General features: G+C 40.1%; 1 long non-coding RNA gene and 1 pseudogene across 1 annotated transcript in view, besides 1 other annotated feature; both read right to left on the bottom strand.

The window, feature by feature from the left end:
* Positions 1-16159, bottom strand: part of SLC8A1-AS1 (SLC8A1 antisense RNA 1) — a 337576-nt gene extending 321417 nt beyond the window's left edge. Inside the window, exons 1-2 of the long non-coding RNA NR_038441.1 lie at positions 16134-16159; positions 10904-10944 (exon numbers count right to left, since the gene is read on the bottom strand). This is a non-coding gene — a long non-coding RNA (SLC8A1 antisense RNA 1). The remainder of the gene's footprint in view (positions 1-10903; positions 10945-16133) is intronic.
* On the bottom strand, positions 3819-4599 carry LOC100419512 (zinc finger protein 19 pseudogene; annotated as a pseudogene).
* Positions 12633-13292: an enhancer, noted in NCBI's record as "H3K4me1 hESC enhancer chr2:40147641-40148300 (GRCh37/hg19 assembly coordinates)". NCBI's record gives its function as "activates a minimal SCP1, AML or CMV promoter by ChIP-STARR-seq in primed H9 embryonic stem cells {active_cell/tissue: H9 hESC(primed)}" and the evidence as "EXISTENCE:reporter gene assay evidence [ECO:0000049][PMID:30033119]".
* Positions 16160-19353: the final 3194 nt, after the last annotated feature.

Below are 19353 nucleotides of genomic sequence, written 5' to 3'. Positions count from 1 at the left end.
TATTTACAGGAAACATCAATTCATAAATTTAATAACCAATAGAACTCAAGACGTATTTTCATCACTTTATAAATACTATGCTTCTAATGATTTGATCTTTGTTATTGAAACATTCTTCCTGTTTTTAATTAAGAAAATCTTTCAGTAAGTATGAATGTATCTTCTCCACCTAAATAGGTGTTGTATTTCTGTTCATTTTTGTTGGATAATAAACGGTCTTAAAATTTACTTAAAATAATCACTTATTTTTCTCATGAATCTACAGTCACCAATTTAGGCTGTGTTTACATGAGTGGCTCTTCTGATCTCAGCTGGGCTCACTCACATATTTGTGAGCTTGGATATTTTAATTGAAAAATCATATCAGCTATGTAACTCTGCTTCTGGGAGTTGAATGGATAACAGCTGGGTGATAGAATACTTGGGCCATGCATCTCCCACCATCCCCTAGGCAGTCCAGATTTATTTATACAGTACGATCATGAGGTTCCAAGAAAGCAAACAGAGCCTAGCTCAGACACAGTAAAACATTTTTTTGTTGTTGTTTGCTGTATTCCACAGGTCAAAGCAAGTCACAGGTCTAGCCTCACGTATTGAGGAAATAGACTTCACCCCTTGATGGAGGATACTGCAAAATCACACTACAAAAATGTTGGATATAGGGAAGAAAAAAATAATTGTGGCCATTTTTCAAATATACTGCAATGAGTATGCATAAGAGCCAGGTAAACATGTTAACTTTATCCTTACTTGGATTGGAGTCTTAGTAAAAGAAAGCTTTTCCTGTACTCAAAAATGAGGGTTTATATTTTTCTCCCATCAGATGAGCAAATATTTTAAAGTTATAATAGACAGGGTTCAAAATGGAAAAAAATAAGCAGTCTCACATGCTGATATGCATATGCATCAGGAATTCATGTTGAAGTTATTACAAACAAATAATCATGTATTTCACAAAGATGGAGCTCTATGGCTATTTCATAAAGCATCATTTTTAACAGTGAAAAACTGGGAAAATCAGTGTCCAAAAATAACTGGTTAAATACATTATGTTATCACATAATGGAATACTACATATTGAAATGAAGATGTAGAAGAATATTAAATGGTGTACGAAGGTAGTCATGACATATTAAGGTTAAAAAAAGATTACATACTATGTTATTTATTTGCATGTTTTGGTATAACTATTTTCTAAAGATATCACAATTAGTCATTTTGTTTTTTAATTAGAGGGATCAACATTATTTGACGATAAATTTGTCATTCCTTTTACATGCTGCAAGTGTAACAAAAAGCCCCATCCCAGGTGTATCTTCAATTATACAGTGTTATCACAGAAGAATTTACGAATCACTACCGACTATATGGCATTGTTTAAATTTGAAACTCTGGTGACTCATGACTAGGTATGCCAGTCATTTGCTGTTTTAATACTTCAATAATTAGTAAAAGCAGTAGAGTTTGTTTGGAATAGAAACTAGGAATTTTTGTTGATAGGTCCAGCTTTGCCATGTTTTAGTTGAATGGCTCAGAGATAATTACCATTTCTTTTTCATTTCATTTTCCTACCTGTCAAGTGAGGATATGTCTGAATTCAAACTCCTTGAGAGAAAAACCTACCGTGTATAATTCAACTTTGTGTCCTCAACTTCCTTACCTCCTCAATAGCTTACCTGTCTACTTCATAGAAGTACATCAGAGAATATTGACAAGCATACCATCACTCTGCAAGCAAGGTTTCCATAGGGAGGGAACATGAATCAGATACTTCTTACATGCCAAGTCAGATTCTCTTATATTCACCCATCCCCAGGGCTTTTACCATCAGTGGCTACCAACTCTGTGGGAAGTCTGACCAACTTCATATGAGCACAACCCAATAGGATCTCACCATACACCCATATCACAACTCTGATGTATAGCCTCTCTTCCCCAGAAGCAAAGGAGTCTTTGTGAATTTCCCAAAAACCTTGCCCAATGCCCATGATTAAGGCAAGGAGTAGCCCTACAGTGAACAATGGGCAGATTTTCCCATAATCCTTTTCTTCATAAATCTTTCTGTTCTGATGGTGCTGACCCCATCACTCCAAGGATGAGCATGAGATCAGGCCTGCCCCATCAGAGGCTCCGTTCATCCTATTGCTATGGTTTGAATGTTTCCCTTCCAAATTTATGGTGAAACAATCCCCACTGTGATGTTATTAGGCAGTGGTGCCTTTAGCAGGTGATTAGACCACAAGGGCTCCCCCTCATGTATGAATTAGTGCCTTATAGAAGGGCTTAAGGGAATTAGCTTAGGCCCCTTTTTGTCCTCTGCCATATGAGAATGCCACCATGAGAAGATGCTGCCACTGATAAAGCAGGCCTCACCGGACACCAAATCTGCTGGTGCTTGATCTTGGACTTCTCAGCCTCCAGAACTGTAAGAATACATTTGTGTTGCTATAAATTACCCAATCTGTGGTATTTTGTTAGAGAGGCACAAGTGAACTAAGAAACCTACATACCATGATTGCTTCAGGGATTGGTCTCTGATTGGAGCCAAGCCAATCTTGGAATCTTTATACCAGTGCTTTAAGAAAAAAATGCTTTCTTTCTGCTGGGGCACTGAAGCTGGAAAAATGTCAGTCTTGAGCCTCTTAGTGTCCAATAACTAAGCCAACAGAACAAAAGTAGAGCTTAGAGGTGAAAACAGATTTTCACCTCTACCATGCAACTTAGTTGGGACTAGCAAGAGATAAGCATTCAACTTCTAGGAAGAGTCAGGGTTTTTTTGTTGTTTTTCTTTTATGACCACAGCATGAGATGATGTGTTGGCACCTTCATTAGTTGAGATTTGAGGGTAGTAAAAAGGCCATTCAAGCAAGCGTGAGCGTAACAGACTAATAGGTAGGGTTTGCTTCAGATACGACTGGCTCTGGGGGTCCAAATAATATAATCATAACTGTCTATTTTCAGCTGAGCACTGCTTTTTTTTCCTCCTTCTTCCTGCAGGCTTATTGGGCAGATTCTATGCGGAGAGCAGCCGTGGTCTTGACGCTGTGTGTGGTGGTTATACTGACTGTAGTCCCTGGCAGTTGCAGCAGGCATCAAGCAGAGAGAAATGTGATGAGGCAGCTCTGGAGAGGGGGAGCCACAGGTGCACCCCTGCATTGGGAAGATACCATCAACTGCAGCAAAGAGAATAGATGCACCACACACTCCTGGATTTGCTGGGGAATTTAAGAAAAATGCAGTCAGAAATCAAAGGTGGAGTTCTAGGGGTCCTCCTGGAAAGAAGCTAGGGAGAGAACTTCTTCTGATTGGCATTTTTTTCCTCTGTAGCTCTACTTTTGTCCTGCTAAAAGCAGGAATCAGATCAGATGTTAAGCTGATGACATTTGACAGTCACAACGCAATACTTACTACCACATAACATTCCCCTACTACACCATTTAAATTTCTCACTCTCACCCAGAATATTCACAGATGAGTCATGAGAAGTGATAAATAAAAAATACTATTTTTTAAGTCAAACGTAAGTATCAAACTGTAAAGACCCACCATGTATAAAATTTAGTTTTGCAATTAAAACTCCCAATGTTTATCTCATAACATCCATTATGTGCACAGATCTTGTTGTGATGCTCAGAAATTAAAGCATGTAAGATGTGTGGTTCAAGGAAATTACTTTTTAAAGAAAGAACACCCACTGAAATTTATTGATTCACGTTACTGAAAAAATCAGAAGTAGGAATAATTACCATGAAAAGGAGGTTAAAAATGCTGGGACCCCAAAAGAACTAAGATCTAGCCCAGGCTTCTCTTAGATGGTACAGATGGGAGAAAGTCCTAAAGATCTTCCCATACTGGCTACACTCAGGGTTTCTCTCCACTGTGGATCCTCTGATGCCGACATTATGTGGATTTAACAGCAAAATCTCTTCTATACTCATTACCTTCATCGGTCTTCTCCCCAGTATGGATTCTCTGATGTATAACCAATTTGGAACTACTGGGGAAGCCATTTCCACTCTTCTTGCAGAGTTAGGGTCTGTCCCTACTATGGATTCTCTGATGACTCATCAGATTGACTATTATTATCAGCTCACCCACACTCCTCACACTGATAAGATTTCTCTCCAATATGGACTGATGACAAATCAATGAAGAATTGCCATTAAATGATTTCCCACACTCCTTACATGGATAGTGTGGATTCTCTGTTGTCTGACACACTAAGAGAAAAAGCTGATGCACCTCCCATACTCCTCACATCTGAAGGGTTTCCTTGCATAGTGGCTTCTCTCATCTTTTTCCTTTAATTTTTTTCTCTGTGGAGATTTTCTGATGCTTCTCCATGTCATGTGTTTCTGGAAAGTCAGCTTCCTAAGAAACATTCTTTAACAGCCCACGTGGCATCACCATGTCTGTTTCTTCAGAAATTCCCTGTGTTGATGTGGACTCGTTGTCATTGTTGGTCTCAGCATCTTTACAGGCATCCCTGGTCCCCTCTGCAGGGGGATCATCCTGTGTGTCCAGGACCCAAGGCATATCCCCTCCTACCAGAAGTGAGACCCGCGCAAGTTTGCAAACTGGGTATCCTGGTGCCCGGCTTTCAGGGTTGACGGCCATCACCTGGGCTCCTTCCTTCTGTGCTTCTGGGGAAAAGCGGGGGCTCCAGTGGCAAGTGGCCAGAAAATAACTCTTTATTGTTGTATTTTGTATGAAGTACAGCCAAACATTTCTGGGTCAGTTGTACAGAGGGGAAAAAGAAAACAAATGGCTCCCTGTATCCTCGCCTGCTAGAGAACCAATACGGGGAAGGGATACTCACTGTTCCAGGGTCCCAAAGTCCTTGTCTGGAATTTACACTTTCTGATCCTGCCTCTAACATCCAAGGCTGAGATAACAATCAGCTGGTGGCTTCTAAAACAGCTGGAACCTCCATCTGGACACATACAGGGACTCAATGGTAGCTTCATTCTCCCCGTGATTAATCCACAGGATTCCAGGGTGGCTTCTTTTTCTTTTGGGGAACACATAACTTTCAACAAAGGGATTTTGAAGTTGACAAGCTTCCAAACTCTGTGATAAAGCAGTGAGTTTTGCAAACAATACGTTATGTTCCGTCACTAATTCCATCTGCTCTCTAGAGGATTTTAGTGTACTTTGACCTCGAAGGAGAAGAAGGGCTCCTGAGTTGTTACCCTTCTAGAAAAGGAAAACAAAAACCCCAGCAAGATAAATCAAGCTAATACTAACAGTTAATTGAAAGGAAATGGTATGCTTTCCTCTGATTAAAAAAGGGGGGGCATCAAAAGTCCAAATCAAAATCCTTGCAGTTTCCCAAACACACCCTCCTCTTCCAGCCTCTCACCACCCCACTCGCCATTGTCTCTGCTTGGAATGGTGCTATGCTGGCTGGGGTCATAAAATGATGAAAAAGAGAAAGTGGATCCCTGCCTGTCTGTAATCAGGAAAGCACAGGGTGTGCAGGAGTCTTGAGAAGTGCCCCCTCACCCAGACTCTGAGGATAAGAAAAGCTTCCTGCAGAAAATGCTATCTAAGCTGAAAACTAAAATCAATTTTGACGATGTAAAGGATAGTGTTCCAAGCAGAGGAATGGTGAGTGCTAAACCTAGAGACCGGAATGACTGCAAGTATTTCAGGAGAGGTCATTTATTTGGGCAGTGGGAGGTGAGTTGACCGTAGAGAATAAGAAGAGAGAAAATGAGAAATGGAGAAAGGAAATAGGGAATGAGACGAAATGAGAGAGGGGCAGCAGCCACATCATTAAAAGTCATGTTTAGGTGTCTGCAATTTATCTTAAGAAAATGAAGAGACATTAAAGAAACTTAAACTGGGGAAGGACTTGTACACCCATGTTTGAGAATCTTTGTAATCCCAGTGTCTAGCATAGTGTCAGGCTCTTAATAGCTGTTCAATAAATGCAATGGTGAGTGGTGTGGCAAGTGCAGAAGAAATGACAAACCAACATAACACAGTCTATGTAAAAGCCATCTTTTTAGTAAGAACTATTTATAAGCATAAATATTCATAAATGTGTACATAAATGTTTGTAAATGTACAGAATAGTAAGTTATGAGACCATAGTCACAAAACAAAAGGCATCACAATGGTTAGAATGCCAGCATCACATCCTCAATGCTGAAGACAATAAATTATTCATAAGTATATTCTTACTGCATAAGCCAGATAGTTTGTCTAATGTTAACACTAAGGAAAGAGATGGCTTTCTGAAGAAGAGAGAAGAAATCAAGAATGTTCTGGAACCTAGGGCAGGGAGAGATGGCAGCATACCATGAGGGTATGGATTTACTCTACCTATATTTAAATCCCAGATCCTAACAAGATTCCCAGATGTAGATTCTTGGCCAAAGCTTTTTCTGTACCCAAGTCTACTTTGTAAATCAGAATATCACCTCCTCATAAGTTTGTTGTGGGAATCTAGCTACATAGGACCTGCAAAGCACTCACACAGCTCCTGACATACAGTAGTGAATAGTTACTGGGAAATCACTCTGAGTGAAAGAGGCAGGCTTTGGAGAACAACATTCTGGACACATTGGAGACACATGGAGTTCCTGAGGGCAGGCAGCAGAATAAAACTTAACAGGAAGAGTTCCAGAATTCTGATCTATTCTTAAATTTTTATCAAGTTAGGTCTCCTTCTTTCTTTAGAAATTAAAATTGGGACTAAGATTCTGGTTCAGTTTAGGTTTATTTATTCATCCCATAAATATTTGTTAAGCACTTACTATATGCTAGGCACTGTTCCAGGAACCAAAGATTTGACGACTAAAGAGAGAGAAATAGAGAAAGAGAAAAGGAAAACCAGGAGAATTATATGGGAAAAACTATTACAAAGGTTTATACCTACATAAAGGAAATGGAGTGATTAGGCTGGGTTCTCCAGACATTTTATGAGATGAGTTTCATTCTGCTTTCTTGAGCCTAGGGATGAAGTGCTGACAGTAAGATTCCAGAGCAGAAGAAAACACACTGGGAAGCATAGAAGGGTAATAGCAACTGACCAGAGATCCAGCAGATACATTTGACAACAATCAGCAGGTCCTGATATTCTAATTAAAGTCACAGGGTCAGTGGAGCTTCTGGGACTTCCTGAAGCATCAAGAAAACTCTTGAGAATTAGGGAAGAGTAGAGATAGCAAAAGAACTGTATTTTATATCATACAGTTTCTGTTAACTGTGTGATATAAAACAACACCATTTCAGGAAAGGGAGGAATATACTACCTGTTCAAGAGGAGAGGATTAGGATGAGAATGAAAGAGCAACAACAGCTACTTCAAAGGTGATGGGGAATTTGGAGCCATGTGTTGAGGATTTGTGACTGGTGAGAGGGTACACAAGTGTGATCAGACAAAAGACAAAGGATGACATTGTCAGAATCTCATTCAAAAAGGAAAGGAAATAAGTCATTAAGAATCATGATTTGCATCTGTTAATAAGGATTTAAGAGTACACATCAAAAGAATACGGCATATTTTTAATTAAAAAGCAAAAAGGGATAGATAAAAATTACAAATGTGTTTCATCAATGTAACCAGCATGGTCCACACATTCCATGAGTCAACTCTCAAATTATAATATCTCAGATTCTTATCCCATCTTACTGGTTAAGTTTAGTCCTTACCAGATTTCCATCCCCAAATATTCTGGACTCCCTGGGAAATGCTCTCATGTTCTCCAAAGCCATCTTGATTGTCACGTCCCACCTCAGTGAGCCCCCTAGCTCCAGGCCCCTCTCTGTGGACCACCGCTCACCCCAGCATGCGTGACCCCCTGCCACCTCCACATGTTTCCCTCAGGCAGCTCCTCTCATTGAGACTGCTTCACCTGAAGCCTGGGTACAGTCGTTCCTTCAAGTCCCAGTTAGAATAGAACAGGTCAGCAAGAGTCTATTGATGCTTTGGGGATAATTGGAGGATCAAAGAAAAGGAAATAGGGCAATAAAATTGAAATTGCTTTTAGATATGGTGCACTCAAAACCTACCAAGACCCAAGGGTCCATGACAGCACTCCTCCTGGCTAGTCCATGTGTTAGGAACCTGCTTCCTAACCACACGTATACCCCAGTGAGTTCTTTAAAATATCCTGCTTTTCAGTGAAACAAGTTCCTAATCGCAAGGCCTAGGAAAATAAGTTCATTCCTTCCATGACCTGAGACCTGCCTACCCCCTCCAGGGGGAAACCCCACCAGGTTGAGGTCTGCTCTGTGACCTTCTGTAGAGTGAGCCCCAGAATATACAAGAGTTCATGCAATGTATTTTCCAGTTCTGGCTTATTCACTCCTGAATTATGCGAGATTTGAGACATCAACAGTCCAGCCTGTGTTGGGCTGCATCAGACTCAGGCCACATAAGGTCAAGTGAGACCTGCACATGTTTCCAGTCATGACAGGTCTCAGTTTCCACTCTCATCAGCCACTGCTGAAACATACACATGGATTTATCCAGAGCAAGAGCACGAATACATGGCTATAAGGAAGTCCAAATCTATGCATAGGAAACAAGTCTGTTCTCAAAGAAACAATCCTCTGAGATGCAATTCTGTCTGCTCTAAAGACAGACTTAAATTATAACATCAAACAGTTTAGCAATTTGGGATCAAGAAATCTCAACCCTTTTAAAGTCCAAACAGGGAACTCTGCTCTGGGTTCAACTAAAAGACCAAGGGATGGAGGATAACAGCCCCAGAATAAAGGATGATGACACTCTGTTTAAGGAGCTATTTTTCCAACTTCTACCTACTCTGTTGTTAAGAGAGTATCTCATAAGACTGTGATGTGTAACCAATTTATTATTTGTGATTTTGAAAAATATTGTGGCAGTAACTATAAATATGTTACACATTTATCTTTTAGAAATAAAAAATCCTCAACATCTAACATGTGTGAAAGGGCTTTGACAAGCATTAAGTATTGCCTCCACTCCTCTAAGGAGGTCAGCCTTGGGAAAGCTAAAGACAAAATAATTTGGATACAATGCAACTTGAAATAAGCCTAAGACCTTACATGCCAGATACAGAGTAGGAAGGTGCTCAACTTCTTTCATGTCCCAAATTATATCCTTAGTCGAAAACTCATTGCCACATATCCCTGGCCAGAGGTCTTTGCAGCAATTCATCTTTCTGAGCCCTCTTAACTACTTTAAAGTTCTTTGGTGCTAGAAAGTCACTAGTAGATCAGTTGCTATTCAAACTGTTTATATCTAAACTGTATCTAAAGTCTTCTTACAGAAATTTTATTTAGAAAAAGTGAATTTTCCATATGTCTTAAAATCAACCTTGGACTTCCAATTAAACATCACAGCTTGAACATACATTTATCTTCACTTCTTCCCAGCCCCACTAAAATTGCTGTGAACTAATTTTTTCAAAAGGCTTTATCTACAATGGCAGGCCAAATTCCTCAGGCTCACAAGTTCCTTGGAGGTATCAGACACCTTTAAGGGCATGGGAATTTAGTGAAAATCCACATGCTGAATATGCAGCCTCTAGTTCTTTTCCTCAAGTTAACTCACAGAAGGCAAAGCTGCCAGACATGTGCTCCACAGCCAGTAGCTTGGACAATTCTAAGAAAAATTACAACTCAAGAGAAAAACCTAAATATATTGACATTTTGCATTCTCCCCTCTGCAATGAAATGTCCAGGTCACAATCACAAAAGTCAGCAAAATCTCACCCTCAGATGAGACTTTCCTAACAGTTTTTCAATGCCCTACTCTCAGAATGAATAGGCAAGGATCACCAGATGTTTGAGAAATGCTTCTAAAATGAAGAGAGAGACCAAAACAGAGTGGGGATGGGGGCAGGATACAAAAAGAAGGCAGAGCTAATTGAGGGAAGAGAAGAATACTTGCAGAGCTCTATTATTATGCTCCAAGAGATAAGAAAATATTTTTAAAAACAATAGAATGCTTTTGAAAAATAAAAAGGAACAGCATGGAACAAGAAACAGGTTGTGACAATTAAAAATCTATGTTAAAATTCATTATGCAAGAGAAGACAGAAGTTGAGCAGATCTCCCAAGGAGACAGGTAGCAGTGGTTGCTTTGGGGTGCAAGGCACTGAAATGCTGCCACACGAGCTGCTCCCACTAGAGCTGTGTCACAGCTGGCACAGCCCCAGAATGGAGCTTCCTGAGCACCATACAAATTAAGCCCATCCTGAACAGTCTGAGGCAGACAAGGACTTTCGAGCTTTTGTTCCTACCTCCTTCCTCACACAGGACCAAAACATTCTAATCAATGTGGCAATTTATTGTACTAGACAGATGGTTGAAATGCAGCATGCCAGTATCTCAATATTCAATTCAGTGTTTATAGATACTTCCGTAAAGAAAGGGAAAGAGGCCCTTCAGAAATGCCCCATCTCCTGTGCCACATGTGCTACAAAGCAAAGGGGCAGGGGCATTTCTCCCCCACTTCCACCCCCCCCACATTTCCTGCTTCCACAGTCAGCTCCAAAAGAAGATTAAAACATAGGAAAATATGAGCCTTTGTCACCCATCACTGTTGAAAAATGACCACTTTAGTCATGAAGGAGTTTGCTCTGATAAGGAAATACACTGCCTGGAAAATGTAATGTTTCATATTCATGCATCTGTGCTCTTGCAAATGCTTTTTTGGCTCCATTATATTTTGTATGATTAATTTTCCAGTAGACTTACGAAGGAATAAAAATCCTTTAAAAAGTTTAACTTGTTTTTTCTGAATAACTTCTGACACCAAATGCTGAAGTTATACCTTAGTTTTCAGTAGGAAGAAAAATGTTATTTTCATTAGCTGGGCATTTTCAGTTGGACATGGTCTTTTTCAATATACCTATATACTTTTCAAATATATTTAGCAAAGCACATATTGAATATACATTACAATATGCTGAGTCGTCATTCCTCTTTTGTCTTCGTAAACTTCTGTGGAGAAAGAATACAGTAAAATTTAGGATCCTTGTTCTCCAGCCCATAGTGTACACAGCAGGATACTAGAGAGCCATCAGAGCACAATTTCGAAAATGTAAGCAGGAAAGTTCTACAGAAGAATGTCATGACACTGAGCTGGGCTTGCTGTCCGTTCTCAGAATACATTATCCCTCTTTTCAGAATTTAATTCAGGTTCGTGGGAAGTGGTAGAAACCATAGAGTCCTATGTTGAATGAAGAACAAGGAAGATGTATACAATAGATGCCAATCCAAACATATAAGGGGGTACCATATTAGTTTTGCACAGTAAGTGTTAAAGAACAAAAAAAAAACTAAAATATAGCTTATTCTCACACACCCTTGACCCACTCTTCCCCTACCCCCAAACACAAGCAAAATTTGATTATGTTAAGATGGAGCCTTAAAAAGCTCCCAGGTGATACCAATAATCAGCTAGGGGAGCACTTCTCTCAGGGATCTTTTAAGTCCCTTCTAGGACTTCAGTAAGTAGAAGATATGGTCTGTGCCCTCCAGAAGCTTGAAATATAATTAGAAAGTTAAAACAGAACAGGGTAATAGAAGAAGGCCCTAAGATAAGTATTGCAGAATTTTCAGAATGTGAAGAAGTAGGAAAGATGGAAGAAGCCATTCTGGAAAAAGACAGGAGAAGAGCATGAGGGGGCAGGGTATGTGGGGGTGCAATGAGTGGACAAGCAGCAGGCCCGGCAAACATGCAAAAAAGATTGGCTACCAGCAGTGCCAGCCTAGTCCTGAGCCAATAATTCTCCCTTCTGGGGTGTTTTCATTCAGATTTGTCTATCTTAAAGTGTCCTGAAGGTGGAAGAAGAGAGTATCAATTAACAGTCATGTGAGGCCTGTCTTCAATTCAGCCTCTTCTATAAAGCCTTCCCAGACCAGACCAAACCAAACTTACCTCTTTCTTCCTCTGAAGTCATGTAGAGCTAAACTGAGTACTTAATCCAACTCCCTCATATTACAGAGCGTAATCCTGAGAGATTCATTTGTTTACCCAATGTCACAGAGGTAGGAGAAGAGCCAAGAGAAGTAGATCTCTGCTCTCCCACTGACAGCCCAATGTTCCCTGCATTATTTCACCTTTTCTTCTTGTGGAAAGTGCATGTCAGTTCTTAATATCTCAACCCATGATTTTAAATTTTCATCATCATCCGTAGTCTAGTACAGTGTCAAACATAAGGAGTGCCCAACAAATACTTGTGAAGTTGAAGCAATAGCCCATAACTCCACCAATTTAAGAAAAGATTAAAATTTACCAATTCAAAAAACTAAGTAAATTGCAACTTAAATCCAAGAGTCCAATACCAAGACACATCACACTTAAATTTCTGAAGTTAGAGACAAAAAAATCTTGAAAGCAGCAAGAGAAAAATAACACCTTAATTCTAGGAAAAAGGAAATGTCAATGACAGCAGATTTTTCATCAGAAACCATGGAGGCTAAAAGTAAGTGATGAAAGAAAAGAATTTAACCCAGAATTCCATACCCAGAAAAAAGATTCTTTAAGAATGAAGGGGAAAAAATCAACATACTCTCAGATGAAAACAAGTAAAGGAGTTTTGTTGTTTATACCAGCAGATATACTCTAAAATAATAGCAAAAGGAAGTTCTCTAAACAAAAAGGAAACAGAGACCCTTGGACGTTAGGAAATACAATGTAAAGGGAGGGGCTTCAAGATGGATTACTAGAGACATCTCACCTCCTCCATAAAAAACCAAAATGAGTAGATATTCACACTTTAAATGGATCATCTAAGAGAGGGCACTGGAATTTAATAGAGAAGTGACAGCAAACACCTAAAATAAGGAAGGAGAGAGGAGCCCAGAGAGGCTGCCCAGTGCAGGGAAAGGTAAGTGAAAGATCCCCAAAAGGTCCACATTCCCACCACAGACTCCTGCGATCTCAGTGACAGGAGAGCCCTTGACCTTCCAGGCCCTGAGATTAACTTAGGGAGCTCCAAGGAGACAGCACAAAGTTTTTCTCCAGAAACAAAGCTGAGGCTGGATCCCACACCTGCCCCAGACCTAAGGAGCTTAAGCAGAATACTATTTTGAGAGCCCAACCCCCACCCACCTGCATCCTGCCCCGGGGCTCAACAGCCCTTGCATCTCCACATCTTTGGGGCCCCCTGACATCCTCCACCCGCAGCCTTACTAGCTGCTGCCATCAGGCCTGAAGCATGAGCCACAGGCAGCAATCCATCACTCCTGGCAGTGGGGCTGACACACATTTGCACACACCCTGAGGACAGATTCTTACCTACAGCCACCACCGTTGCTGGCTGCTGCCACTGGGCTGAAAAGCAAGCCGTGGGCAACAACCCTGCCAGCCCCAGCAATGGTGCTGCTGTGCGTTTACATATGAACTGAGGACAAGCTCCCACACCCACAGCCCCACCTGTGGCCAAAACACAAGCTCCTCAACTGCCTGCCTACAGCTGCTGCCACTGACAGCAACCTCACTTTCCCATCAGCAGGGCTGCAGCCACTTGCATGCACACTGGGACAGGCTTCCCCATCCACCACTGCCACTATCACCTGAGCACTACACTGGGGGGTTGGCGATCACCCAGCTCTGCCCGCCACAGCCCTTGCCCATATGCGCCACTGGGAGCCCCAAAGACAGACCCATCCAGCCTGGCTCCATGCCCCCTAGTGCTCAAGCATGCTGTTCAGTGGACTGGGGATTGCCCCACCCCATCCACTACTGTTGGCACCTGAGTACTCTTAACAAGGGCCTAAGGATAGACCCACCCAGCCTGCGGCTATCATCACAGCTGGAACCCACCTGTATGCACCACCTGTGGGCCTGGGGACTGGCCCACCCAGCACATCACAGCCCCCACCAACACCAGTACAGACAGCTGGGGAGGCAGAGGGTTTTCCTGCCACTACTACTGCCATCACTCATACCATGCCTGCTGTCCAGGGTCCCAAGGGCCCACCAGCCTGCCTGGCCCCTTGCTGCTGCTGCTGCTGTCTTCACCTGAGTAAGCCATCTGGAGGCCCAAGAATCAGCCTACCTGGAACCACTTGGTGCTGGCACGTGCACTGCCCTGTTGCCCAAGGACAGGCATGTTCCACCTACTACTGTCATCACTGCAGATGAGGACTGACACAGCTGGTGTCTTCATCCCCAGCAAATCTTCACCACAGCCTCTACTAATGACTGCACCCTAAACCACTAAGGAAATCAGACACCACTGACACTGTTTACAAGCAAAGAAATTATACAGAGACTAGACCATTGCATGCACCCAGAATCAAAGCCAAAGTGCCCTAACCAACCAACACCATAGATACATCTTCAGGAGAAGTCCTCCCAAGAAAGCAAATCCAAAAAATTAGAAGAAGCCGCTGTTACTCCAGATGCACCAGATATCAATGTGAGGACACAAAAATCATAAGAAAATATGACACCTCCAAAGAAATACAATAATTATCTAGCAACAGATTACAATGAAAAAAACTTACAAAAATCCTGGAAAAATAATTCAAGATAATTAAAGAAGCTCAATGAGATACAAGAGAACACAGGTAAATAATACAAAGAAATCAGAAAAACAGTTTAGGATATGAATGAGAAATTTACCAAAGAGATATCATAAAAAATAATCAAACAGAAATTCTGGAAATGAATAATTCAATGACCTAACAGACATTTATAGAACATTTCATCCAACAGCTGCAGAATACACATTCTTCTTACCAACACATGGAACATTCTCCAGGATAGACCATATGTTAGGCCACAAAACAAGCCTCAACAAATTTTTAAAAATGGAAGTCACATCAAGTATCTTTTCAGACCACAATGGAATAAAGCTAAAAGCAATAACAAGAGAAACTTTGGAAACTGCAAATACATGAAAATTAAACAACATGCTCCAGTATGACCACTGGATCAATGAAGAAATTGAGCAAATCAAAAAATATCTTGAAATACAGTATACCAAGACCTATGGGATATAGATGGAAGTACACAGCACTAAATGCCTACATCAAAAAAGTAGAAAGATTTCAAATATGCCATCTAACAATGCACTTCAAGGAACTAAAAGAGAAAGAAAAACCAAACACACAAGTAGAAGGAAATAAATTTTAAAATTAGAACAGAACTAAACAAAAGAGACCAAAAACAATATAAAAAAATCAATAAAATGAAAAGTTGGTTTTTTGACAAGATAAACAAAATCAATAGCTAGACCAACCAAGGAAAAAACTAGAGAAAACCCAAACAATCAGAAATGAAAAAGGAAACATTACAATTGGTACTACAGAAACAACAAAGATCAGAGACAATTATAAACAACTATATGCCAACAAAGGTGGAAAACCTAGAGGAAATGAACAAATTTTTGGACACATACAACCTACCAAGATTGAATCAGGAATAGAATACCTATACAGAGTAAGGAGCAAAGAGTTTGAATCAGTAGCAAAGTCTCCCAACACAGAAAAGCCCAGGACTAGATGGCTTCACTGCCAAATTCTACCCAACTTGCAAACAACACCAATTCTTCTCAAACTATCTTAAATTGAGAAGGAGGGAATTCTTCCCAACTCATTCTACAAGGCCAGCATTATCCTGATACCAAAACCAGACAAAGACACAACAACAACAAAGAAAACTACAGACCAATATCCCTGATAAGCATAGATACAAAATTCCTCAAAAAAATACTAGCAAACCAAATCCAACAGCACATCAAAAAGATGAAACACCACAATCAGGTAAGATTTATCCCAGGGATGCAAAGATGGTTCAACACGCACAAATCAATAAATGTGATACATCACATCAACAGAATGAAGGACAAAAACCATATGCTCTTCTCAATAGATTTTTAAAAAGCATCTGATAAAATTCAGCATTTCCTCATGATAAAACCTCTCAACAAAGTAGGCACAGAAGAGAACTTACCTCAACATAACAAAGGCTGTATATGACAAACCCACAGTAAACATGATATTGAGTGGGGAAAAGCTGACATTCTTTCCCCTAAGAACTAGAAAGAGTTCCTAGGGGAAAGAGTTTCACTTTCACCACTAGAATTTTACTTAATGTATTAGTGCATTCTCACACTGCTATAAAGAACTGCCTGAGACTGGGTAATTTATAAAGAAAAGAGGTTTAATTGACTCACAGTTCTGCATTGCTGGGGAGGCCTCAGGAAACTTAACAATCATGGCATAAGGAAAAGGAGAAGCACACAACTTTGTAGGGAGGAAGGTCAGAGTGAGCACAAGCAGGGGAAATGCCAGATGCTTATGAAACCATCAGATCTCATGAGAACTCACTATCATGAGAATAGCATGGAGGAAGCTGCCCCCAAGATCCCATTACCTCTACCTGGTCCTGCGCTTGACATGTAGGGATTATGGAGATTACAATTCCAGGTGAGATTTGGGTGGGAACATACAGCCAAACCATATCACATAATATTAGAAGTCCTAGCCAGACCAATCAGGTAAGAGAAATAAAAGGCATTCAAATTGGAACAGAGGAAGTCAAGTTGCTCTCTTTGCAAATAACTTAATCTTATATCTAGAAAAAACTAAAAACTCCATTAAAAACCCTCAATTTGATATATACATTCAGTGAAGTTGCAAGAAACAAAATCAACATGCAAAAATCATAGCATTTCTATACATGATTAGTGACCTAGCTGATGAAGCAATCAAGAAAACAATCCCATTTACAACAGCTATAGAAGTAAAATATAATACCTACGAATCGATTTAACCAAAAAGGTGAAAGACTTCTATAAGGAAAAGTACAAAACACTGATGAAAAAAGTTGAACACAAATAAATGGAAAGACATCCCATGCTCATGCGTCAGAAGAATATTGTTAAAATAACCATACTACCAAAAGCAATCTACAGATCCAATGCAATCCCTATCAAAATACTAATGTCATTTTTCACAGAAATAGAAAAAACAATCCAAAAATTTATATGGAAGCTGAAAAGAGCCAGAATAGCCAAAGCAATCCTGAGTAGAAAGAACAAAGCTGGAGGCATCACACCACCTGACTTCAAAATATGTTACAAGACTCTAGTAACCAAAATTGCATGGTACTAGTATAAAAACAGACACATAGGCCAGTGGAAAGAAACAGAGGCCCCATACATAAATTCACATAGTTACAACAAACTGATTTTTTTTTATAAAGGTGCCAAGAACATATTGGGAAAAGGACACTCTCTTCAATAAATACTGCTGGGAAAACTGAATATCAACATGCAGAAGAATGAAACCCGATCCCTATCTCACCATATGTAAAAATCAAGTGAAGATGGATTAAAGGTAAATGTAAAACCCAAAACTATAAATCTATTAGAAGAAAACATAGTGGGACCAGGTGCAGTGGCTCATGCCTGTAATCCCAGTACTTTGGGAGGCCAAGGCAGGAGGATCACCTGAGTTCAGGAGTTCAAGACCAGCCTGGCCAACATGCCGAAACCATCTCTACTAAAAATTCAAAAAAAAATTAGCCAGGCATGGTGGCATGCATCTGTAATCCCACCTACTCAGGAGGCTGAGGCAAGAGAATAGCTTGAACCCAGTAGGTGGAGGTTGCAGTGAGCGGAGATTCCATCACTGCCCTCCAGCCTGGGCTACAGAGTGAGACTCCAGCTCAAAAAAAAAACAAAAACAAAGCAAGAAAGCAACCAAGGAAGGAAGGAAGGAGGAGAGGAAATAAGGAAGGAAAACATGGTAACATTGGTCTAGGTTAAGATTTTATTATGGCTCAGACCTCAAAAGCACAGGGAACAGAAACAAAATAGACAAGTGGGACTTTATTAAATTGAAAAGCAGCTCAGCACTTTGGGAGGTTGAGGAGGGAGGATCACTTGAACCCAGGAGTTGGAGGCTGCAGTGAACTACATTCATGCGACTGCACTCCAGCCTGGGTAACAGAGCAAGACTGTCTCTAAAAAATAAATAAACTGGAAAACTTCTGCATACACTAGAAATCAATAGAGTGAACAGACATCTGTTGAATGGGAGAAAATATTTGCAAATTATTCATCTGACAAGGGACTTAGTAATCAGTAGACATTAAAGTAAACTCAACAGCAAAACAAATAATCTCATAAAAAAGTGAGTAAATGTCATAGACATTTCTCAAAAGAAGACATACAACAGGTAAATGGGTCAACAGGTATATGAAAAAATACTCAACATCACTAATCATCAGGTAGATGAAATCAAAACCACAATGAAATATCATCTTACCCCAGTTAGAAGTACTATTAGAAACAAGGCAAAAAAAATAGCAGTTGCCGGTGAAGATGTGGAGAAAAGGGAACTCTTAGACACTATTAGTAGGAACGTAAATTAGTACAGCCACTATAAAAAAAAAATGAAGATTTCTCCAAAAAAGTAAAAATGGAACTATCTTATGATCCAGCAATACCACTACTGGCTATTTAGCCAAAGGAAAGGAAATCATTATTTCAAAGGGATACCTGTGGCCCCCGTGTTTATTGCAGCACCATTCACAATAGCAAAGCTATGAAATCAACTTAAGTATTATCAGATGAATGGATAAAGAAAATGTGGTATATATATATACACAATGGAGTACCACTGGGCCATTAGAAAGAATGAAATCATGTCATTTGCAGCAACATGGATGGAAGTGGACATAATTACGTTAAGTGAAATAAGCCAGGCACAGAAAGACAAATATCCCATGTTCTCATGTAGGAGCTTTAAAAAGTTGATCTCATGGAGGTAGAGTACAATGATAGATAGCAGATCCTGGGAAGGATCTGTGTTGGGGATAGGGGAAAGAAGAGAGGTTAGTTAATGGGTACAAACATACAGGTAAAAGGAAAAAGTTATATTCAACAGCAGAGTAGAGTGACTATAGTTAACAACATACGGTATATTTCAAAATAGCTAGAAGCGAGGACTTGAAATGTTCCCAACACATAGAAATGATAAATATTTGGGGTGATGGATATCCTAATACCCTGGTTTGATCATTACAACACTCTGCATGTAACAAAATATCACATGAATCTCAAAACATACAAATATTATCTATCAAAAAAATTCTAAAAATGCAAAAAAGAACATAAAGCGATTAAGAACATACTATGTTTGTAGTACAGCTACCAGGCCAGGTGGAGAACTGTGAGTTCCAAGACAAGCTCATTGTTTGCTGCCTGCTGTGGTCTGAATGTTAGTGCCTCTCACAGATTAATATTTTGAACAACAAAAATACTTCTTTCTTGGATAAAACAACCTCTTTTAAATATCTTGTTCTGTATACGGACCTACTACTGTAGTCTGGTGGTTTTGTAGTTACTGCTAGTAGCAATGTGGTGGATGAGGGGCTAAGTTAAAAAA

This window comes from Homo sapiens, chromosome 2 (assembly GCF_000001405.40).
Source record: "Homo sapiens chromosome 2, GRCh38.p14 Primary Assembly".
Taxonomy (NCBI): Eukaryota; Metazoa; Chordata; class Mammalia; order Primates; family Hominidae; genus Homo; species Homo sapiens.
This window is presented reverse-complemented; position numbering and strand designations above follow the sequence as displayed.